Source organism: Homo sapiens, chromosome 11, assembly GCF_000001405.40.
Source record: "Homo sapiens chromosome 11, GRCh38.p14 Primary Assembly".
Classification (NCBI taxonomy): Eukaryota; Metazoa; Chordata; class Mammalia; order Primates; family Hominidae; genus Homo; species Homo sapiens.
In genome coordinates, this window is record NC_000011.10 from 127,089,044 (window position 1) to 127,106,998 (window position 17,955).

Consider the following 17,955-nt stretch of genomic DNA (forward strand, 5'->3'; position numbering starts at 1 on the left):
TAATTGAAAAATTTCCAACAAAAGAAGTCCAGGACCAGATGGATTCACACTTAAATTCTATCAGACATTCAAAGAAGAATTAGTACCAATCCTATTGACACTATTCCACAGGATAGAGAAAACCAAGGAAGGACATAACAAAAAAAGAAAACTACAGACCAATATCTCTGAAGAACATAGATGCAAAAATCCTCAGCAAAATACTAGCTAACTGAATCCAACAGCATATCAAAAAGACAATCCACCATGATCAAGTGGGTTTCATACCAGTGATGCAGGGATGGTTTAACATCTGCAAGTCATTAAATATGATACACCACATAAACAGAATTAAAGACAAAAATCACATGATCATCTCAACAGATGCAGAAAAATAATCTGACAAAATCCAGCATCCCTTTATTATTAAAACCCTCAGCAAAATCACCATAGAAGGGACATACCTTAAGGTAATAAAAGCTGTCTATGACAAACCCACAGCCAACATTATACTGAACAGACAAAAGTTGAAAGCATTTCCCCTGAGAACTGGAACAAGACAAGGATGCTCACTTTCATGACTTCTATTCAACGTATTACTGGAAGTCTTAGCAGGAGCAATCAGACAAGAGAAAGAAATAAAGGGCATCCAAATCAATAAAGAGGAAGTCAAACTGTCACTGTTTGCTGATGATATGTTTGTATACCTAGAAAACACTAAAGACTCATCCATAAAGCTTCTAGAACTGGTAAATGAATTCAGCAAAGTTTTAGAATACAAAATTAATGTACACAAAACAGTAGCTCTGCTATACCCCAATAACAACCAAGCTGAGAATCAAATCAAGAACTCAACCACATTTATAATAGCTGCAAAAAAAAAAAATCCCACCAAAAAACAAAAACAAAAACAAAAAAGCTTAGGAATATACCTAACCAAGGAGGTGAAAGACCTCTAGAAGGAATACTACAAAACACTGCTGAAAGAAATCATAGACAACACAAACAAATGGAAACACATCTCACGCTCATGGATGGGTAGAATTAATATTGTGAAAAGGACCATACTGCCAAAAGAAATCTACAAATTAAATGCAATTCCCATCAAAATACCACCATCCTTCTTCACAGAACTAGAAAAAAAAATCCTAAAATTTATATGGAACCAAAAAAGATCCTGCGTAGCCAGAGCAAGACTAAACAAAAAGAAAAAAATCTGGAGGCATCACATTACCAGACTTCAAACTCTACTATAAGGCCATAGTCACCAAAACAGCATGGTACTGGTATAAAAATAGGCACATAGACCAATGGAACAGAATAGAGAACACAGAAATAAAGCCAAACACTTATAGCCAACTAATCTTTGACAAAGCAAATTAAAACATAAAGTGGGGAAAGTATACCTGTTCAACAAATGATGCTTGGATAGTTGGCAAGCCACAGGTAGAAGAATAAAACTGGTCCTCATCTCTCACCTTATACAATAATCAACTCAAGCTGGATCAAAGACTTAAATCTAAGACCTGAAACCATAAAAATTCTAGAAGATAACATCAGAAAAACCCTTCTAGACATTGGCTTAGGTGAAGACTTCATGACCAAGAACACAAAAGCAAATGCAACAAAAACAAAGATAAATAGATGGGACTAAATTAAACTAAAAAACTCTGCACAGCAAAAGCTGGCCGTAAAGCAGAGTTAACAGACAACCCAAAGAGTGGGAGAAAAGTCTTCACAATCTGTACATCCAACAAAGGACTAATTTCCATAATCTACAAAGAACTCAAATAAATTAGCAAGAAAATAAAACGATCCTACCAAAAAGTGGGCTAAGGACATGAATAGACAATTCTCAAAAGAAGATATACAAATGGCTAAGAAGCATATGGAAAAACGCTCAACATCACTAATTATAAGGGAAATGCAAATCAAAGCTATAATGTGATACCACCTCACTCCTGCAAGAATGGCCATAATCAAAAAATAAAAAAATAGTAGATGTTGGTGTGGGTGTGGTGAAAAGGAAACACTTTTACACTGTTGGTGGCAAAGTAAACTAGTACAACCACTATGGAAAACAGTGTGGAGATTCCTTAAAGAACTAAAAGTAGATCTACCATTTGATCCAGCAATCCCACTACTAGGTATCTATCTACCCAGAGGAAAAAAGTCATTATATGAAAAAGATACTTGCACATGCATGTTTATAGCAGCACAATTTACAATTGCAAAAATATGGAACCAGCCCTAATGCCCATCAATCAAAGTGTGGATAAAGAAAATGTGATATATATATATATATATATATATATACACACACACACATATATATATGTATTGTGTGATATATATATATGTGTGTATATATACACATATATATGTGTGTATATATACACATATATATGTGTGTATATATATATACACACACACACACATACACACACACCATGGAATACTACTCAGCCATAAAAAAGAAACAAAATAATGGCATTCACAGCAAGACGGATGGAATTAGAGACTATTATTTTAAGTGAAGTAAATCAGGAATGGAAAACCAAACATTATATGTTCTCACTCGTAATTGGGAGCTAAGCTCTGAGGACGCGAAGGCATAAGAATGACACAGTGGACTTTGGGGACTCTGGGGAAAGGGTGGGGGGGTAAGGGATAAAAGACTACACACTGGGTACAGTATACACTGTGTGGGTGATGGGTGCACCAAAATCTCAGAAATCACCACTAAAGAACTTATTCATGCAACCAAACACCACCTGTTCTCCCAAAACTACTGAAATAAAAAATAGAAAATAAAAAACTTCTAGACTTACAAAAAGACTTAGATAGCCACACAATAATAGTGGGAGACTTCAACACCCTGCTGACAGCATTAGACAGATTATTGAGACAAAAAACTAACAAAGAAATTCTAAACTTGACATTGACCATTTGGACATAATAGATACCTGCAGAATACTCCACCCATCAAACACAGAATACTTATTTCTCTTATCTGCACAGAGAACATACTGCAAGGTTGACCACATGCTTGGCCATAAAGCACTCTCAATAACTTAAAAAAAAATCGCACAAACTCTACTCTTGGACCACAGTGGAATAAAAATAGAAACCAATACCAAGAATATCTCTCAAAACTATACAATTATCTGGAAATTAAACAACTTGCTCCTGAATGACTTTTGCGTAAACAATGTAATTAAGATAGAAATTTTTTAAAAAAAAGTTTGAAGTAAATAAAAACAGAGATACAACATACCAAAATCTCTGGGATGCAGCAAAAGCCTTTAAGAGGAAAGTTTCTAGCACTAAATGCCTACTTCAAAAAGCTAGAAAAGTCTCAAATTAACATTCTAACATCACACCTAGAGAAACTAGAAAAACAAGAACAAACTAACCCCAAAGGTAGCAAGGAAAATTAATGAAAACAAAAGTTGGTTTTTTTTTGTAAAAATAAACCAAACCACTAGACCAATAGCTAGATTAGATTAGCAAAGAAAAAAAGAGAGAAGATCCAAATAAGCACAACTAGAAATACAAAGGTGATATTACAACTGATCCCATGGACATATTAAAGATTCTCAGAGAGTACTATGAACATCTCTAAGCACATGGACTAAAAAATCTAGAGGAAATCAATATATTCCTGGAAACACATACCCTCCCAAGATTGAATCAGGAATAAATTAAAACATTGAACAGATTAATATGGAGTTCCAAAATTGAATCAGTATTAAAAGCCTGTACCAATGAAAAGTCTTGGACCAGATGGATTCATAGCCTAATTCTACCAGACATAGGAAGAAAAGCTGGTACCAATTCTACTGCAACTATTCCAAAAAAATCGATGAGGAGGTACTCCACCCTAATTCTATAAAGCTAACATCACCCTGATACCAAAATCTGGAAAGACACAACAGAAAAAGAAAACTACAATATCCCTGATGAACACAGATGCAGATATCCTCAACAAAATACTAGCAAACTGAATTCAACAGCATACCAAGAGGTTAATTTACCATGATCAAGTAGGCTTTATTCCTGGAATGCAAGGTCAGTTCAATATATGTAAATCAATAAGTGTGATTCACTAAATAAACAGAATTAAAAACAAAAACCATATGGTCATCTCAATAGACATGGAAAATACTCTCAATAAAATCCAGCATCCCTTCATGATAAAAACCCTCAAAGAAATGAGGCATTGAAGAAACATACCTCGCAATAATAAGAGCCATCAATGACAAACCGACAGCCAACATCATACTGAATGGGCAAAAACTGGAAGCATTCCCCTTGAGAACTGGAACAAGAAAAGGAAGCCCACTTGGCCATTCCTATTCAACATAGTATTGGAAGTACTAGCCAGAGCTATCAGGCAAGAGAAAGAAATAAAAGGCATCCAAATAAGAAAAAGAAAAAGTCAAATTATCTCTCCTCATGGATGATATAATCCTATACCTAGAAAACCCTATAGACTCTGCCAAAAGCCTCCAGGAACTAATAAATGACATCAATAAAGTTTCAGGATACAAAATCCATGTACAAAAACCAGTGGCATTTCTATACGTCAATAACATTCAAGATGAAAGCCCAATCAAGAATGCAATCTCATTTACAATAGCCACACAAAAAATAAAATACCTGGAAATGTAACTAACCAAGGAGATAAAATATCCATAACACTGCCAAAATGAATCATAGATGACACAAACAAATGGAAAAACATGCCATGTTCATGAATTGGAAGAATCGGTATCATTAAAATGGACATTCTACCTAAAGCGATATACAGATGCAGTGCTATTCCTATCAAACTACTGATGTTGTTTTTTAGGGAACTAGAAAAAAAACTATCCTAAAATTCATATGGAACCAGAAAAGAGACTGAATAGCCAAAGCAATCCTAAGCAAAAAGAACAAAGCCAGAGGCATCACATTACTCTACTTCAAACTATGCTATAAAGCTACAGTAATCAAAACAGCATAATACTGGTACAAAAACAGACACATAGACCAATGAAACAGAAGAGAGAACCTGGAAATAAAGCCACACACCTACATCAATCTGTTGTTGACAAAAATAGACAGTATTTTTGGACACTCCCCTTTTTTAGGACACTCTCAATAAATGGTGCTGGAATAGCTGGCTAGGCATATACAGAAGAATAAAACTGGACCCTTACTTTTCACCATCTACAAAAATCAACATATGATGGATTAAAGATTTAAATGTAAGACCTCAAACTATGAGAATCCTAGAAGCAAACCTAGGAAACACCATTCTGGACATTGGCCTTGAGAAGGAATTTATGTCTAAGTCCTCAAAAGTAATTCCAGTGAAAACAAAAATTGAAAATTGGTACCCAATTAAACAAAAGAACTTCTGCACATCAAAAGAAACTATTAACAGAATAGACAACCTAAAGAATGAGAGAAAATACTTACAAACTATGCATCTGACAAAAGTCTAACATCCTGAATCTATAAGGAACTTAAACAATTCAACAAGCATAAAAACAAATAATATCATCGAAAAATGGGCATATGATATGAACAGACACTTCTCAAAAGAAGACATACAAGTGGCTAACAAACATATGAAAAAATGCTGTACATCACTAATCATCAGAGGAACATAAATCAAAATCACAATGAGATATTATTTCATACCAGTCAGAATGGTTATTATTGAAAAGTCAAGGCCAGGTGCAGTGGCTCATGCCTGTAAACCCAGCACTTTGGGAGGCAGAGGCAGGAGGGTCACTTGAGTCCAGAAGTTCAAAACCAACCTGGGCAACATGATGAGACTTCATCTTTCCAAATGAAAAAAAAAAAAGATAAAAATTGACCAAAAAAATAGCCGGGTGTGGTGGCACATACCTATAGTCCAAGCTACACAAGAGGCTGAGACAGGAAAGTTGCTTGAGTCCAGGAGGTCAAGGCTGCAGTGAGCCACGTTCATGCCACTGCACTCAGCCTGGGTGACAGAGCAAGATCTATCTCAAACAATGATCTAAAAACAATAGATTCTTGTGAGGCAGTGGAGAAAAGGGAATGCTTATACATTGTTGGTGGGAATGTAAATTAGTTCAGCCACTGTGAAAAGCAGTTTAGAGATTTCTCAGATAACTTAAAACAGAACAACCATTTGACCTAGCAATCCCATTACTGAGTATATATCCAAAACAAAACAATCATTTATACCAAAAAGACACATGCACTTATATGTTCATCACTACACTATTCACAATAGCAAAGTCATTAAATCAACCTAGGTGCCAATCGATGATGTAATAAGGAGAATGTGGTGCATATACACCATGGAATACTATGCAGCCATAAAAATGAAATATGTCCTTTGCAGCAACATGGATGCAGCTGGAGGCTATTATCCTAAGTGAATTAATGCAGGAACAGGAAACCAAATACACATATTCTCCCTTATAAGAAGGTGCTAAACATTGGGTACACATGGACACAAATATGGCAACAACAGAAACTGGGGACTATGAGAAGGGGGAGGGCAAGATGGGCAAAAGGTTGAAAAACTAACTAGTGGGTGCTATGCACAGTACCTGGGTAATGGGATCATTTGTACCCCAAACCTCAACATCACTTAATATGTCCAGGTAAAAAACCTGCACATGTATGCACTGAATCTAAAATAAAAGTTGAAAAGAACAAGAAAATGATTAGGGTCAGGAAAGGAATAAATAAAATGAGAGCAGAGGGATATAACCTCGCTTTCAGCTGGATATCAGGGATAACTCCTAGGAGGAGATGGAATTTGAGCAAAGGATTTGAACCTGTGGAAATGAACACTGCTCTCCAGGTTGAGTGAACCCGTGGGACAATGGCACATACCTAGAAATGCTGATATATAGTGAATAGCAAGCAGTTCAGCCTGGCCGAAACACCTGGGCTGGGTGAAGGGAGGGTGATAGATGTGATCTGTCTATGTTAGATTGTGGGGAACTCTGGGTTCAAATTAAGGAAGCTTAAATTTTGGATCTTGTGTATCAGGAGACAGGATGTTTTTGAGACAGATCAGTAAGACAATCGGAGTAGTGCTTTAGGAAGATCACTTTGTAGGGATCTGTAAAACAAATTAGAGATGTAGAAGACTAGAGGCATCAAAAGTAGTTAAGAGGCTATTACAGTAATCCAAATGAATAAGGATTGTGTGAATTAGGGTGGTGGCAGAGGTTGGTAAAGGAAATATGAATGACTCAACATTGACAAAGCTCAAAAAAGGGAAAGATGATGACGAGGTTATGGGGCTTGAGATGATGGAGATGTCATAACACACATAAGGAACACAGCCTGGAAAGCTTATTTCTTTTTTGATTGGGGTAAAGGATGAAAGGTGAGTTTAGTTTGGCATGTGTTGAGTTTACCGTGCTGGTGGGAACATTTAGGTGGAAAACTTCAGCAAATAATTGAACGTTTGGAAGTGGCACTCGGGACTGATTTCAGAACTGAAGTTAAATTTGACGATCATATTTACAGAGGGGCTAATGGAAGCCTTAAAAGTGAATGCCTTGTTAAGAGAAAAGATACAGAGGAAGGATTAAAGGGCTGGCAGAGTTAAATATCTACATTCAGAATGAGGGAAAAGAGGAAGGAGAACAAAGAGGTAGAAACACATCTGTATATTGTCTCTAGCTAGCCTGTGCATGAGCACACACGCAAACACACACACACACATACACACACAGTTTAGACTAAAATTCACACATATTAAGATTACTGGTATATTCAATTTCACATAGTTGGAAGAAAACAGAAGAGAGATAGTGTCTCAGTAACCAAGGAGGGGAGGATGATTGATAGTGTCAAGCATAGATAGAAGAGCAATACATGAAGAGAAACAGCTAGTTTTGTGCATGAAGATGGTATGTTTACATGGGCACAAGCACGTGCACGCCTGTGAGTGTATATCTGAGTGTTTTGAGGGGGAAGGTATTATATAAGTAGGGACTAGAAAAGAAATGGGATGAAGTTGTCAATCAGGAGACAGCAATAAGAAGAATCATCATATATCAGAACAAATGGATATCCAACAAAATGTTTTCTTGATGGTTATTTTGATTCCTTAAAGCCTGAGCTTGGTTTCTGAACCTTGATTTGATTCTGTGTGGTGTATTCAGCAAATTTTGCTTCATTTTAGGCCTCGAGTCTTTCAATAGGTGTGGAATTACTAGGTGACTTGCTTTGCTCCGGTTCTTCCTCATGTCAGTGAGGGCCTTTCAGTAATTAGCCTCTTGAATATGAAACGCATTTTGAGCAGAAGGCTGGTCAGAGTATTTAGTTTGTTCCAGCATATACTCTACCGAATGGTGGGGATGGCACTTTATTACCCATTTGAATTATTCTTTTTAAATAGGATGGACTGTGTTCTGCTTATTTTTCTGGGTTAGGAATCTTCTTACCTAAATTTAGTCAAATACATAACTCATATTGAATGTGGAAAGGAACTAATTTGGGACAAGAAACCAAGGCAAAGAATCCTCTTTAGCAACTAATAGGATAATGGACTTAATTCTTAATAGTGTCTCATCATTTTTCTCTATTATATTGCATTTGATTTCGTTTCTCTTTCAGGCTCTCATTTCCTTAAAGTTTAGTTAGCATTAAACTCTCAGAACCCAATCCCAGTGAGGGATGGCTCAGGGGATGTAACTCCAGTCAATACTTAAATGCCACTCTTCCAAAGATGATGAGAGAGGCAAAGAGGATGAGATGATTTGGCCTATATGTTGGTCATGCGCACTTTATTCCCATAATTATTATTTTTCATTTAACAGTTATTGAATGAGGCACACTCCTCTGTGACTGCATTCCTCCCATTGTTCCTCCCACCCTTTCCCTCCCTCCACTCACCTTGCCTGCCTTCCTGCCTTCCTTCTTTAATTATAAAACAATATGTTAAAGATTCTGGTCCTGAAACCTCATTCCAGTTCATAAAAAAACTAAATTCAAAGAACCTTGATTTTTTTCCCCTCTTCACAGACTTTGTCATGAGAATTCTTAGCCGATTTCCCTTGCGGCATGCCTGGGTCACATGAGTGTGTGTGTATGTGTGTGTGTGTGTGTGTGCTTAAGGGATGAAAACAGGCCTGTCTTTATGGAACAGGTACAGTATTTCACAGCCGGCTGGCTAGGAATGGAATTCTTCTATGAAGAGCTACTTTTCTGGATCCTGAACTGGTTAGGAGATGCAAATTCTACACTGAATGCTGATAAGACCAAACCACACACATCTGTGTATCTGTAGATGGTGTGCACATGCACACACACACACACACACGATTTTTATTAAAATGCAAACACATCTGTATTACTGCTACATTCACTTCTACATAGTTGAAAATCCTTCCTTTTGCAGCTTCAAAGATAGCCAGGCAGGAGTTATTTTATAGAATGGAAGTAATTTCTACGGGGCCAAGCAATAATAAGGAAATTGGAAGTCAAGGACTATCTTCCGAATGGAGAAGAAGCTCCATCAACCACAGAAGGAAATTATGATCACTCCTGCCATCCTGCTCCTTTGTGTATCCAGGTAACCTCTATCAAGAACGTGTGTTTCCCTAGGCTTAGAATGGGGCTTTCTTCCATCACTGTGGCCCACTCCGTTCTCCAACATAACTCTTTTAGCAGCTTAAACTTCAATTATGACTCTGTAATAATTTGGTTGTGTGGCTATTTCCACCACTTCCTACCCACCTTGGAAAGGTGTATTTCCAGAGGTTAGGTCCTGGCAGCAGCTTCCATGGACCCTCCAAGTTCAGAGGTGAGGGCTGATTCAGCACTTTCCTGGCTGGACAGTTCCTGGCCCAAGCCTCTGGCTTCTTCTTCCCTGGCCTTCCACTCCCTTCCTCTCGTAAGGCTCTGGCATCAGATACAAGGACCCCAGTAGCTACAGAGGCCAGTGAATGAGCAATGAGCCTGCTGCAGAGCCTTCATTTCTCATTGTCTCTTCATCCAGACCAATTAGCCCTTCCACTGCCCTACAGTGAAAAAAAAAATGATGCATGTGAACTTGGCATCATGGGGAGGCCCCCGAGGTGTAGGTATTAAGTATATATGAGATTTCCTCTTTTATCATTGTCATGTACTTTTCACAGACATTCATCTCAGGACTTCCCAGAAGACAGACCCACCCCTAATTTTCCTGTCCCTTCTGGTTTCAGTCACTGCTCTCTTACCTTGTCTTCCTTCTCTTCCCAGGATGAAGGGGAGAATTGGAGTCTTGCACAATGAAAGGACAACATTGCTGCCAAAACAATCCATCGTGACTGTAGACATATTTTCCACCCTCATCCTGCAGGTTTTCTGCCAGTTGTTGGCCCCTCACCAATTTTGCTCCTGGGCAGTCTGAGGTGGAACATAATTTTGTATAAAACAAATTATGCTCAACCTCACTTATAATCAGGGAAATGTGAGTCAAAACCACAATAAAATATCACCTCATGCTGTTTAGGATTGCTGTTATCAAGTAGACAAGAAAGAAGTGTTGGTGAGGGTAAGGAGAAAATAAAATCTTTGCACACTGTTGGTGGGAATGTAAGTTGGTAAAGCCACTATCAAAGGCAATATGAAGGATTCTCAAAAAATTAAAAATAAAATTGCCAAATGATCCATCAATCCTTCTTCTGGACACATAATCAAAGGAAATGAAATCAGTATCTCAAATAGATATTTGCACCCCATATCCATTGCATCCTTTTTTGTAATAACCAAGATATGGGAGCAATCGAAGTGTCCATCAGCAAATGAATGGATAAAGAAATCATGGTACACATATACAGTGGAATATTATTCAGACATAAAAAGGAAGGAAATCCTGTCATTTCTCAAGACATTAATGAACCCAGAGGACATCATACTAAGTGAAATAAGCTAGATATAGGAAGACAAAAACCACATGATCTCACTTACATGTGGAATCTAAAAAAGTCAAACTCATAGAAGCAGCGAGTAGAATAGTGGTTGTCAAGGGCTTGGGATAATTGAGGAGATGTTGGTTAAAGGGTACAAACTTTAAGTTATAAGATGAACAAGTTCTGGCGCTCTACTATATAGTATGGGTGATGACGGATGTGTTAATTAATTTGATTGTGACATTCATTACACGATGCATATGTATAACAAATCATCACATTGTACACCTTGGATATATTCCATCTTTATTTATCAATTAAATATTTCAAAATGTTTTTAAAAAGGAAGGCAAAATGGGCCAAAAGGAGTAACTACTTTATGTAGAGCTGATGTCCAGGCTAGAATTTCTAAACTTTTTCTGTAACCTAGAGTCTCTGTTATACTTTTGACTTACCCATTATTCATAACAGATCTCAGGAACCCTCATCACACTGCCTATTGCTAAAAACTCAAAGGAGTTATTGTTATATGAACAACCCAAGTTAATGCAGTCATTAATGGAAATACAGAGTCTTGACTGAAAGAGATCATTTCTATTTTTTGTTGCGATAGTCAGATCATAGCCAGTCACATCTTTTAGGGAGGATGCAAATAGGCTGGACTTCCTTCAGCAAACAGGATGCTGTAGAATAAAATATTCTACATGAGAATACTTAAACAAATTGGAGTGCCTGGTGCCACCATGTAAATTGTGAGGTGTCAGACAGGCTGGTCTTTGGATTAGAGATTGGACTTACTCTCTGTGGCCCTATGAGTAGAGCAGGTCGGGGTGGGGCTGGGCAGGGAGGAAGATCATCTTAAAGTGATAGATGTAGGCTCAGTGTGAGGAAGGATTTCTAAGAGTTGGAGCTGCTCAGAGGTGAAATATCAAGAGAATGCCCTTCAGGAGCAGTGTCTGAAGACAGACCACATGGCCAATAGGGAGAGATAAGCGGGCTGGGTGGCCCTCAGCGCTTTGCTTCCAGTCTTGGGAGTCTTACTGAAATAGCTAATGACCACTCAACCCAAAGAACAGACACATGTCTGCCATGTCTCTCCAGGCTCATCCTGCTTATTGCAAGTGAGGCCCAAAGGTGGGGCTGTTATTCCCTGATGTTTCAGGTCCATGTGCAACTTATTCCCAGATCTTTTCTGAAAAAAAAAGCAGAGAGACTGTTTGCCAGACAGCTGGACCAGAATGAGGTAAAAGAAGATAAGGCCCAACCGAGAAGTCAGAAAAGCTTCACTTTTCATTAGCTCCACATTCCAAAGTAAGAAATCAATGTGCTTAGCTGCAATTCAAAGCAATTAGTCTTTGTTCTCACACACTCTCAAAGAACGACTTAAAGAAGCCCAAATAAATATTTTCAGAAAAGAGAGTAAATTTGTGTTACTTAACCCAAGGAATGCAAACAAGTGTAATTAAAGTGAATACCCATAAATAAAGTAAATACATTAGTTAGGAAATGAATTAATTAGTGTTTAATTACTATCAATTACTAAAATCACTACAGAATTACTTGTAGAATGGACTGAATCTCTTGCTCCTATTAATAATTTCCATTGCTAATTGTATGCACTTGTATTTTCTTTGGGTGCATCTTAGCAGAGCTAATAGGAGGAAGCAACAGCACAGTGAACAATGACAGGGACATTTTTTTTCTTTGTTCAGTGAAAAACAAAAGGGATTTGAAATACATCTGCCTGGTTTTCAAAAGCCAATGTGGGTGAGGAAGGGACGCAGGAAGGAAGGTTGTCCTCGTGACACAGGGTGACCCTCGCCATTCCCTGCTGAGGGGAAGCAGCTGATGTTTGTGGCAGAGCCCTAAGGTGAGGGTTGTGTGTGTGTGTGTGTGTGTGTGTGTGTGTGTGTGTGTGTGTGTGTGTACAGAGGAGAAAGGTAGGTACTGGGAGGCTCAATGCCTGAGCTCACTTCCAGCATGCTCTGTGGAATGCATATGTAGACTGGCAGCCAGGCATCTCTACCCACTGGTCTTGACAGGTGAGGGAATAAGTTTTACATTTACCTGGAGGACAAAGTTCGTCATTTGCTGCCTTGCAGGTGGAGAGAACACACCTGACATCATGCTCCCTAAGAAGCAACACACTAGCTGGTCCTAGAAACAGATGTATACAAATGAGAGGCTGAGGCTAAAGAGTGTCTTTCCTGGGACCCACTCTGCCTGCTCACCAGCATTCTCATTTTCCTGTTTACACAACATCCCCTTACCCCTTCCCTGCCCTCTCCTCCTCTCCCTCATGGACACAGACTCTCAGGCCAGACCGCCTAGGTTTGATTCCAAGCTTCCTCACCTGAAAGACCTTGGGCAAATTACTTAACCTCTGTGAGTCTCAATTTCCTCACCTGTAAAATGGGGAGAATGATAGTACCTACCTCTCTTGGTTCTGGTGAGAGCTCAGATCAGTGGGTGACACATAGCAATCTCTGCTTTACTCATTTTCTTGGTATTTCCACCACATATTTCTTTGTGGAGTAGTTGAGGGGATACATATGATGTGGAGATAAACTAGCTGGGAGGATGGCAGGAGTGATTTGGGAGGGAAACGAAGTTGAAGAGGAGGAATTGGTCCTTAAGTGGTTGTTCTGTTTATTAGTTAGGGTTCTCCAGAGAAATGACACCCATAGGAGATTTATTATGAGGGGTTAGCTCACATGATTATGGAAGTGGAAAAGTCCCATGATCTGTTGTCTGCAAACTGGAGGCCCATGAAAGCCAGTGGTGCAACTCAGTCGAAGCCCAAAGGCCAGGAGTGCCACTGTCGGGGGGGCAGGATAAGACGGACATCCCAGCTGAAGGAGAGAGAGAGCAAACTCATCCTTCTTTTGCTTTTCTGTCCTGTTAAAGCCCTTTAAGGAATAGATAATGCTTGCCTACATTGGTGGGGGCAGATCTTCTTTGCTTAGTTTATTTATTTAAACGCTAATCTCTTCTGGAAACACTGTCACAGGTATACCCAGAGATAATGTTTTTCCACCTATCTTGGCATTCCTTAGCCTAGTCAAGTTAATACATAAGGAATCAAAAAAAAAAAAAAGTCAAACCCTCAAAAGGAGAGTAAATGGTGATCACTAGGGCCTGGGGTTTGGGGAAAAAGGGAAGAGAAGTAGGTTAAAGGGCAAGTACTTTCAGCTATAAGATGAATAAGTTCTGAGGATCTAATGTATAGCTTGTTAACTATAGTTAACAATATGATACTGTTTATTTGAAATTTATTAAGAGAGTAGCTCCTAAGTGTCCTATATGCGTGCACACACACACACAGACACACACACGATAACTATGTGTGGTGATGAAAGTGTTAATTTGATTGTGGTAATAATTACACAATGTATATGTATATCAACTCATCATGCTGTACACTTTGAATATATACAAATTTTATGTGTCAAATACACCTCAATAAAGCTGGACATTTAAAAAAAGAAAGTGAAGGGAGAGACCAGGAAGAGTGAAAAGAGGTCTGCCATTGCTTGACACTGGTCCTGAATTCATTTTATCATTCTGACGCATCCATTCCTGACTTTCTCGGTAACCATCAGCCTGTTAATTATCCCAGCTTAATCCCAGGATTTTCATTTGTAAAAGAGAATAATATAAATATTTGCTTCATGGCATTGCTGCAGAGCCTAGCACTGGAAGTTTTTGAGCCACCCGCTGTAGAGCGAGGTGCAAAGGTTAGGCTGAATAAATAATAACTGGGATAATTGGCACTAAAATTAAAAAGCTGAAACATAACATTAACCATTGCACTCTGTTGCTGTGAAGATAACAGGGACTCTTGCATAAGGGCAGTGGTAACAGAGCATGTCTTTGTCCTGTCCCTCCATCCCCACTCGCCTCCCCCGTACCTTCCTGGGATACTATTTGTAGGCCCTTCCTTTTCAGAAAGTGTCAGGTCCTAGGGCTGATGGCTCCATGGATCAGATCCTTCCCACAGACTCACCTGCTCTTTACCATCCGGCTGGGCTGTAGTTATTCTTGTCACAGCTGAGCTGTGGTCACTCACCTCTGCTGCCATGACCTCAGCACTGGTTCAGAATGAGGTTAACATCCTGGTGAGCACGTACAATGACTAAGGAGGAATGCCACCTCTTCAGGTCAACTTAACATTCACCCATGACTGGGAAGTGCAAGGCTGAAGAAGTTGCTGGCTGCCTTTGAGAAGCTCCACATTTTAAGCACCCCATTGTCACTGGACAGTTCTGCCCTAGACCAAAAACCAGAGTCGCCAACACTGGGAAATATCTTTGAATAGTCTCTTTGTCCTAGACGGCTGTTATTTCACCTTCTGGAGGCACTCAGCAGTGATTCCATTGAGGCTGACCTCTTGCCAAGGGAGTGAATGGCGCTAATCTCTTGAATGTCTTCTGTGTCCCATGTTATTTTAGTTCTCATTGTAAGCTCATTCATTTTTTCATTCATTCATTCATTCATTCATTCATTCATTCATTCATTTAATGTTCATGAGGTCCAGAATGCATAACAGTAGAGAAGACTCATTCCCTGACTCTAAAGGTACAATTGAGTGGGTACTAAAACGCAGTGTGAAACATACCATGAGCTTTTTAGAAGAGAATAAAAAGAGGTGAAAGATCAGGGAGGCTACCAAGAGAAAGTAACCCTTACGCAGAGGTTTATGTGTCAATTATACCTCAATAAAGCTGGACCAAGAAGAAAAAAAGAAAGAAAAAACGCTAAGGGAGAGACCAGGAAGAGTGGATTGAGGTCTGCCGTTGCTTGATACTGGTCTTGAATTCATTTTATCATTATGATAAATCTATTCCTCACTTCCTGGGTAACTATCAGCCTGTTAATTATCCCAGCTTAATCTCAGGATCCTTGTTAAAAAAAATGGAATAATATAATATTTGCTTCACAGTATTGATGTGGGACCAGCAGTAGGAGTGTTTTTGAGCCACCCACTGTAGTGCTAATGGAAAAGGGGACCATGATAAGGAAAGTGACAGAGACAAGTGAATTACAGCCTAAGCTCCCACAGAGCAGGAGGAGCTTTTCCTTTTGAGGTATCAACAAGGGTCTGTGTGACCCTAAGGACATTAATTGTTCAACCACATCAAGCTCTTTTTTGTTCCTTCCCATCTCCCCTTGAAGCAAAATCTCCCTTCCTCTTCTGTTTCTTTCTCCTAATTTTCCCTGCAACCCTAAGCACCTGTAGCAAAGGGTGAGGGGGTCCGACTGCCTGGGTTGAACTCCTGACTCTGCATTTATTTGGTGTGTAACTCTGGATGCATTGCTAAACCTTTCTGAATGTAAAATGGAATACCTGCCTCAGAGCTGTGTAAGGATTAAAAGGAAAGGGAAAAAGGAAAGAAAGATATTGTTTGTAGAGAGCATAGCATAGCACCTGGTACATAGTAATTATTCAATAGATGATAGATAATATCATTACTGTGGATGCTAAGCTTCATTTTTTTGTCTCAGTTGATTGTTATTAAGCCACGCTAATGTGTTGCCTGATGAGGCATTGGCCTAAGTTGTATTTGCATTTCAGATGGAGATACCTGAAGACCAAAATTTATACCACCTCTAAGGAGAGCAGCCATCTTCCTCCCTGTCCTGAGCAGGAATAAACAAAGACTGCATAAACCCTTGCAGCGGGGTAGGTGGCAGGAGATGTTTCCAAGCTTTACACAAAGAAAATAGTGATGCCTATGTACATGTAAGTGATTTGCCACCTCTGCAAAAGTCTACACGATAGCCCTAGGGGGAGAGTTCCTGAGAAACCCGAGCTCGGCTCTACAACCCTCACCTCCCTTCTGTGCCGACTCAGGAAGAAAATAAGCCCCAGCAGGAAACTCACCCTTTGAAATGTCAGAGTCCACGAGGTAAGGGCGAGGTGCGCTAAAGCATCCAAATGGGCATCACCTGCCCCAAGAACTTATCCAAGCCCTCATCCTGACACTGGGGAGGCTGAGTTACCTCGGCAGGTGTCCCCCACAAATGGGAGACAAGCAGCTGTCATTAATTTTCATTTGCTGAAATCAGCAACTTAATCCTAACTTAACCAGAGCCTGAATCTCCCCCTTCCCAGGCAAAAGGCCTTCCCTGGGAATGATTGAATTTCACAGGGTGTAATAAAACAAAGGGATTCTGCTGAATCAGGTGCCAGACTCATAGGCCTGTAAATCTCCTGCTTGCTGTTCAGGTCGGGGATGTTATCTCCACCCCAGCCATCCCCTCATGTCATGGTGCCTGCTGTTTCCACAACCTCTCCTGCTAAGAAGATGACCCTAGGTAAGGCATTCTCTCCAAATCGAAACTAGCATGGCCCTGAGTCCTCATTCAGGAAACTGGTGGCAGTGGGGAGCTCATGTTACAGACACGCTCTCCAGATTGCCAGATCCGGCTAGTTTCAAAACATGCCCAGGTTCTCATTGCTGCATGTTCATTGATGGGGCTGAGAAGAGGGAAAGTGGAAACCAGACCGTCTAGGGGAATTCCAGTCCAGGTGTTCCCGGAGACCCAGGCTGTGAATAGGAGAGCAAGGATTGTACAATCAATTCTCCAGAGACCTTTAGCTTAGCAGAGTGTGTTCAATAAAGGCTGTTGGTTAGGATAAAGCAGAGAGCTAATCAGCCGAGGGAGATTTCCTTTAAGTGGGAGTTTTCAGAATCTGGTGTTAGGCTTGGGAAGTGTCAGGCTTGGGAAGAGGCAAGATTGACAAGAGCTCAGACCCCCGAATCACTGCTTATGGCCCAATTTGACTTAGTAGATAGCACACACAAAAGCCAGTCACTCCCGTCTCTTGAGATGTCCGACTTTGCATTAAGACTTCTCTGGTGAGCTCCAGGTAGGGGGTTAGCAGAGGGTTGGGGCCCAGGACCCAGGGCTAGAGGTCCTGCCTTGCCTCTGACTATGGCCCATGGTAAGCTCACCTGAGTCTCAATCTCCTTTCCTGTGAACTAGGGGATGCGAGTGAATAACTTGACTAGGTTCTCTCTAAGGCCTCCCCCAGTTAAAATGTTTATCTCACCTCTAGGAGGCAGAG

The 17,955-nt window shown here is 39.8% G+C and overlaps 1 long non-coding RNA gene across 1 annotated transcript in view, besides 1 other annotated feature; it reads left to right on the forward strand.

The window, feature by feature from the left end:
- Positions 1-12,263, forward strand: part of LOC101929473 (uncharacterized) — a 34,305-nt gene extending 22,042 nt beyond the window's left edge. The window contains exons 2-3 of the long non-coding RNA NR_120578.1: positions 9,389-9,562; positions 10,231-12,263. This is a non-coding gene — a long non-coding RNA (uncharacterized LOC101929473). The remainder of the gene's footprint in view (positions 1-9,388; positions 9,563-10,230) is intronic.
- Positions 11,530-11,770: a silencer, noted in NCBI's record as "fragment chr11:126970468-126970708 (GRCh37/hg19 assembly coordinates)". NCBI's record gives its function as "represses an EF-1alpha promoter that drives an FKBP-Casp9 reporter gene in an ReSE screen in both phorbol 12-myristate 13-acetate-treated (for megakaryocytic differentiation) and untreated K562 erythroleukemia cells {active_cell/tissue: K562 | K562(+PMA)}" and the evidence as "EXISTENCE:reporter gene assay evidence [ECO:0000049][PMID:32094911]".
- Positions 12,264-17,955: the final 5,692 nt, after the last annotated feature.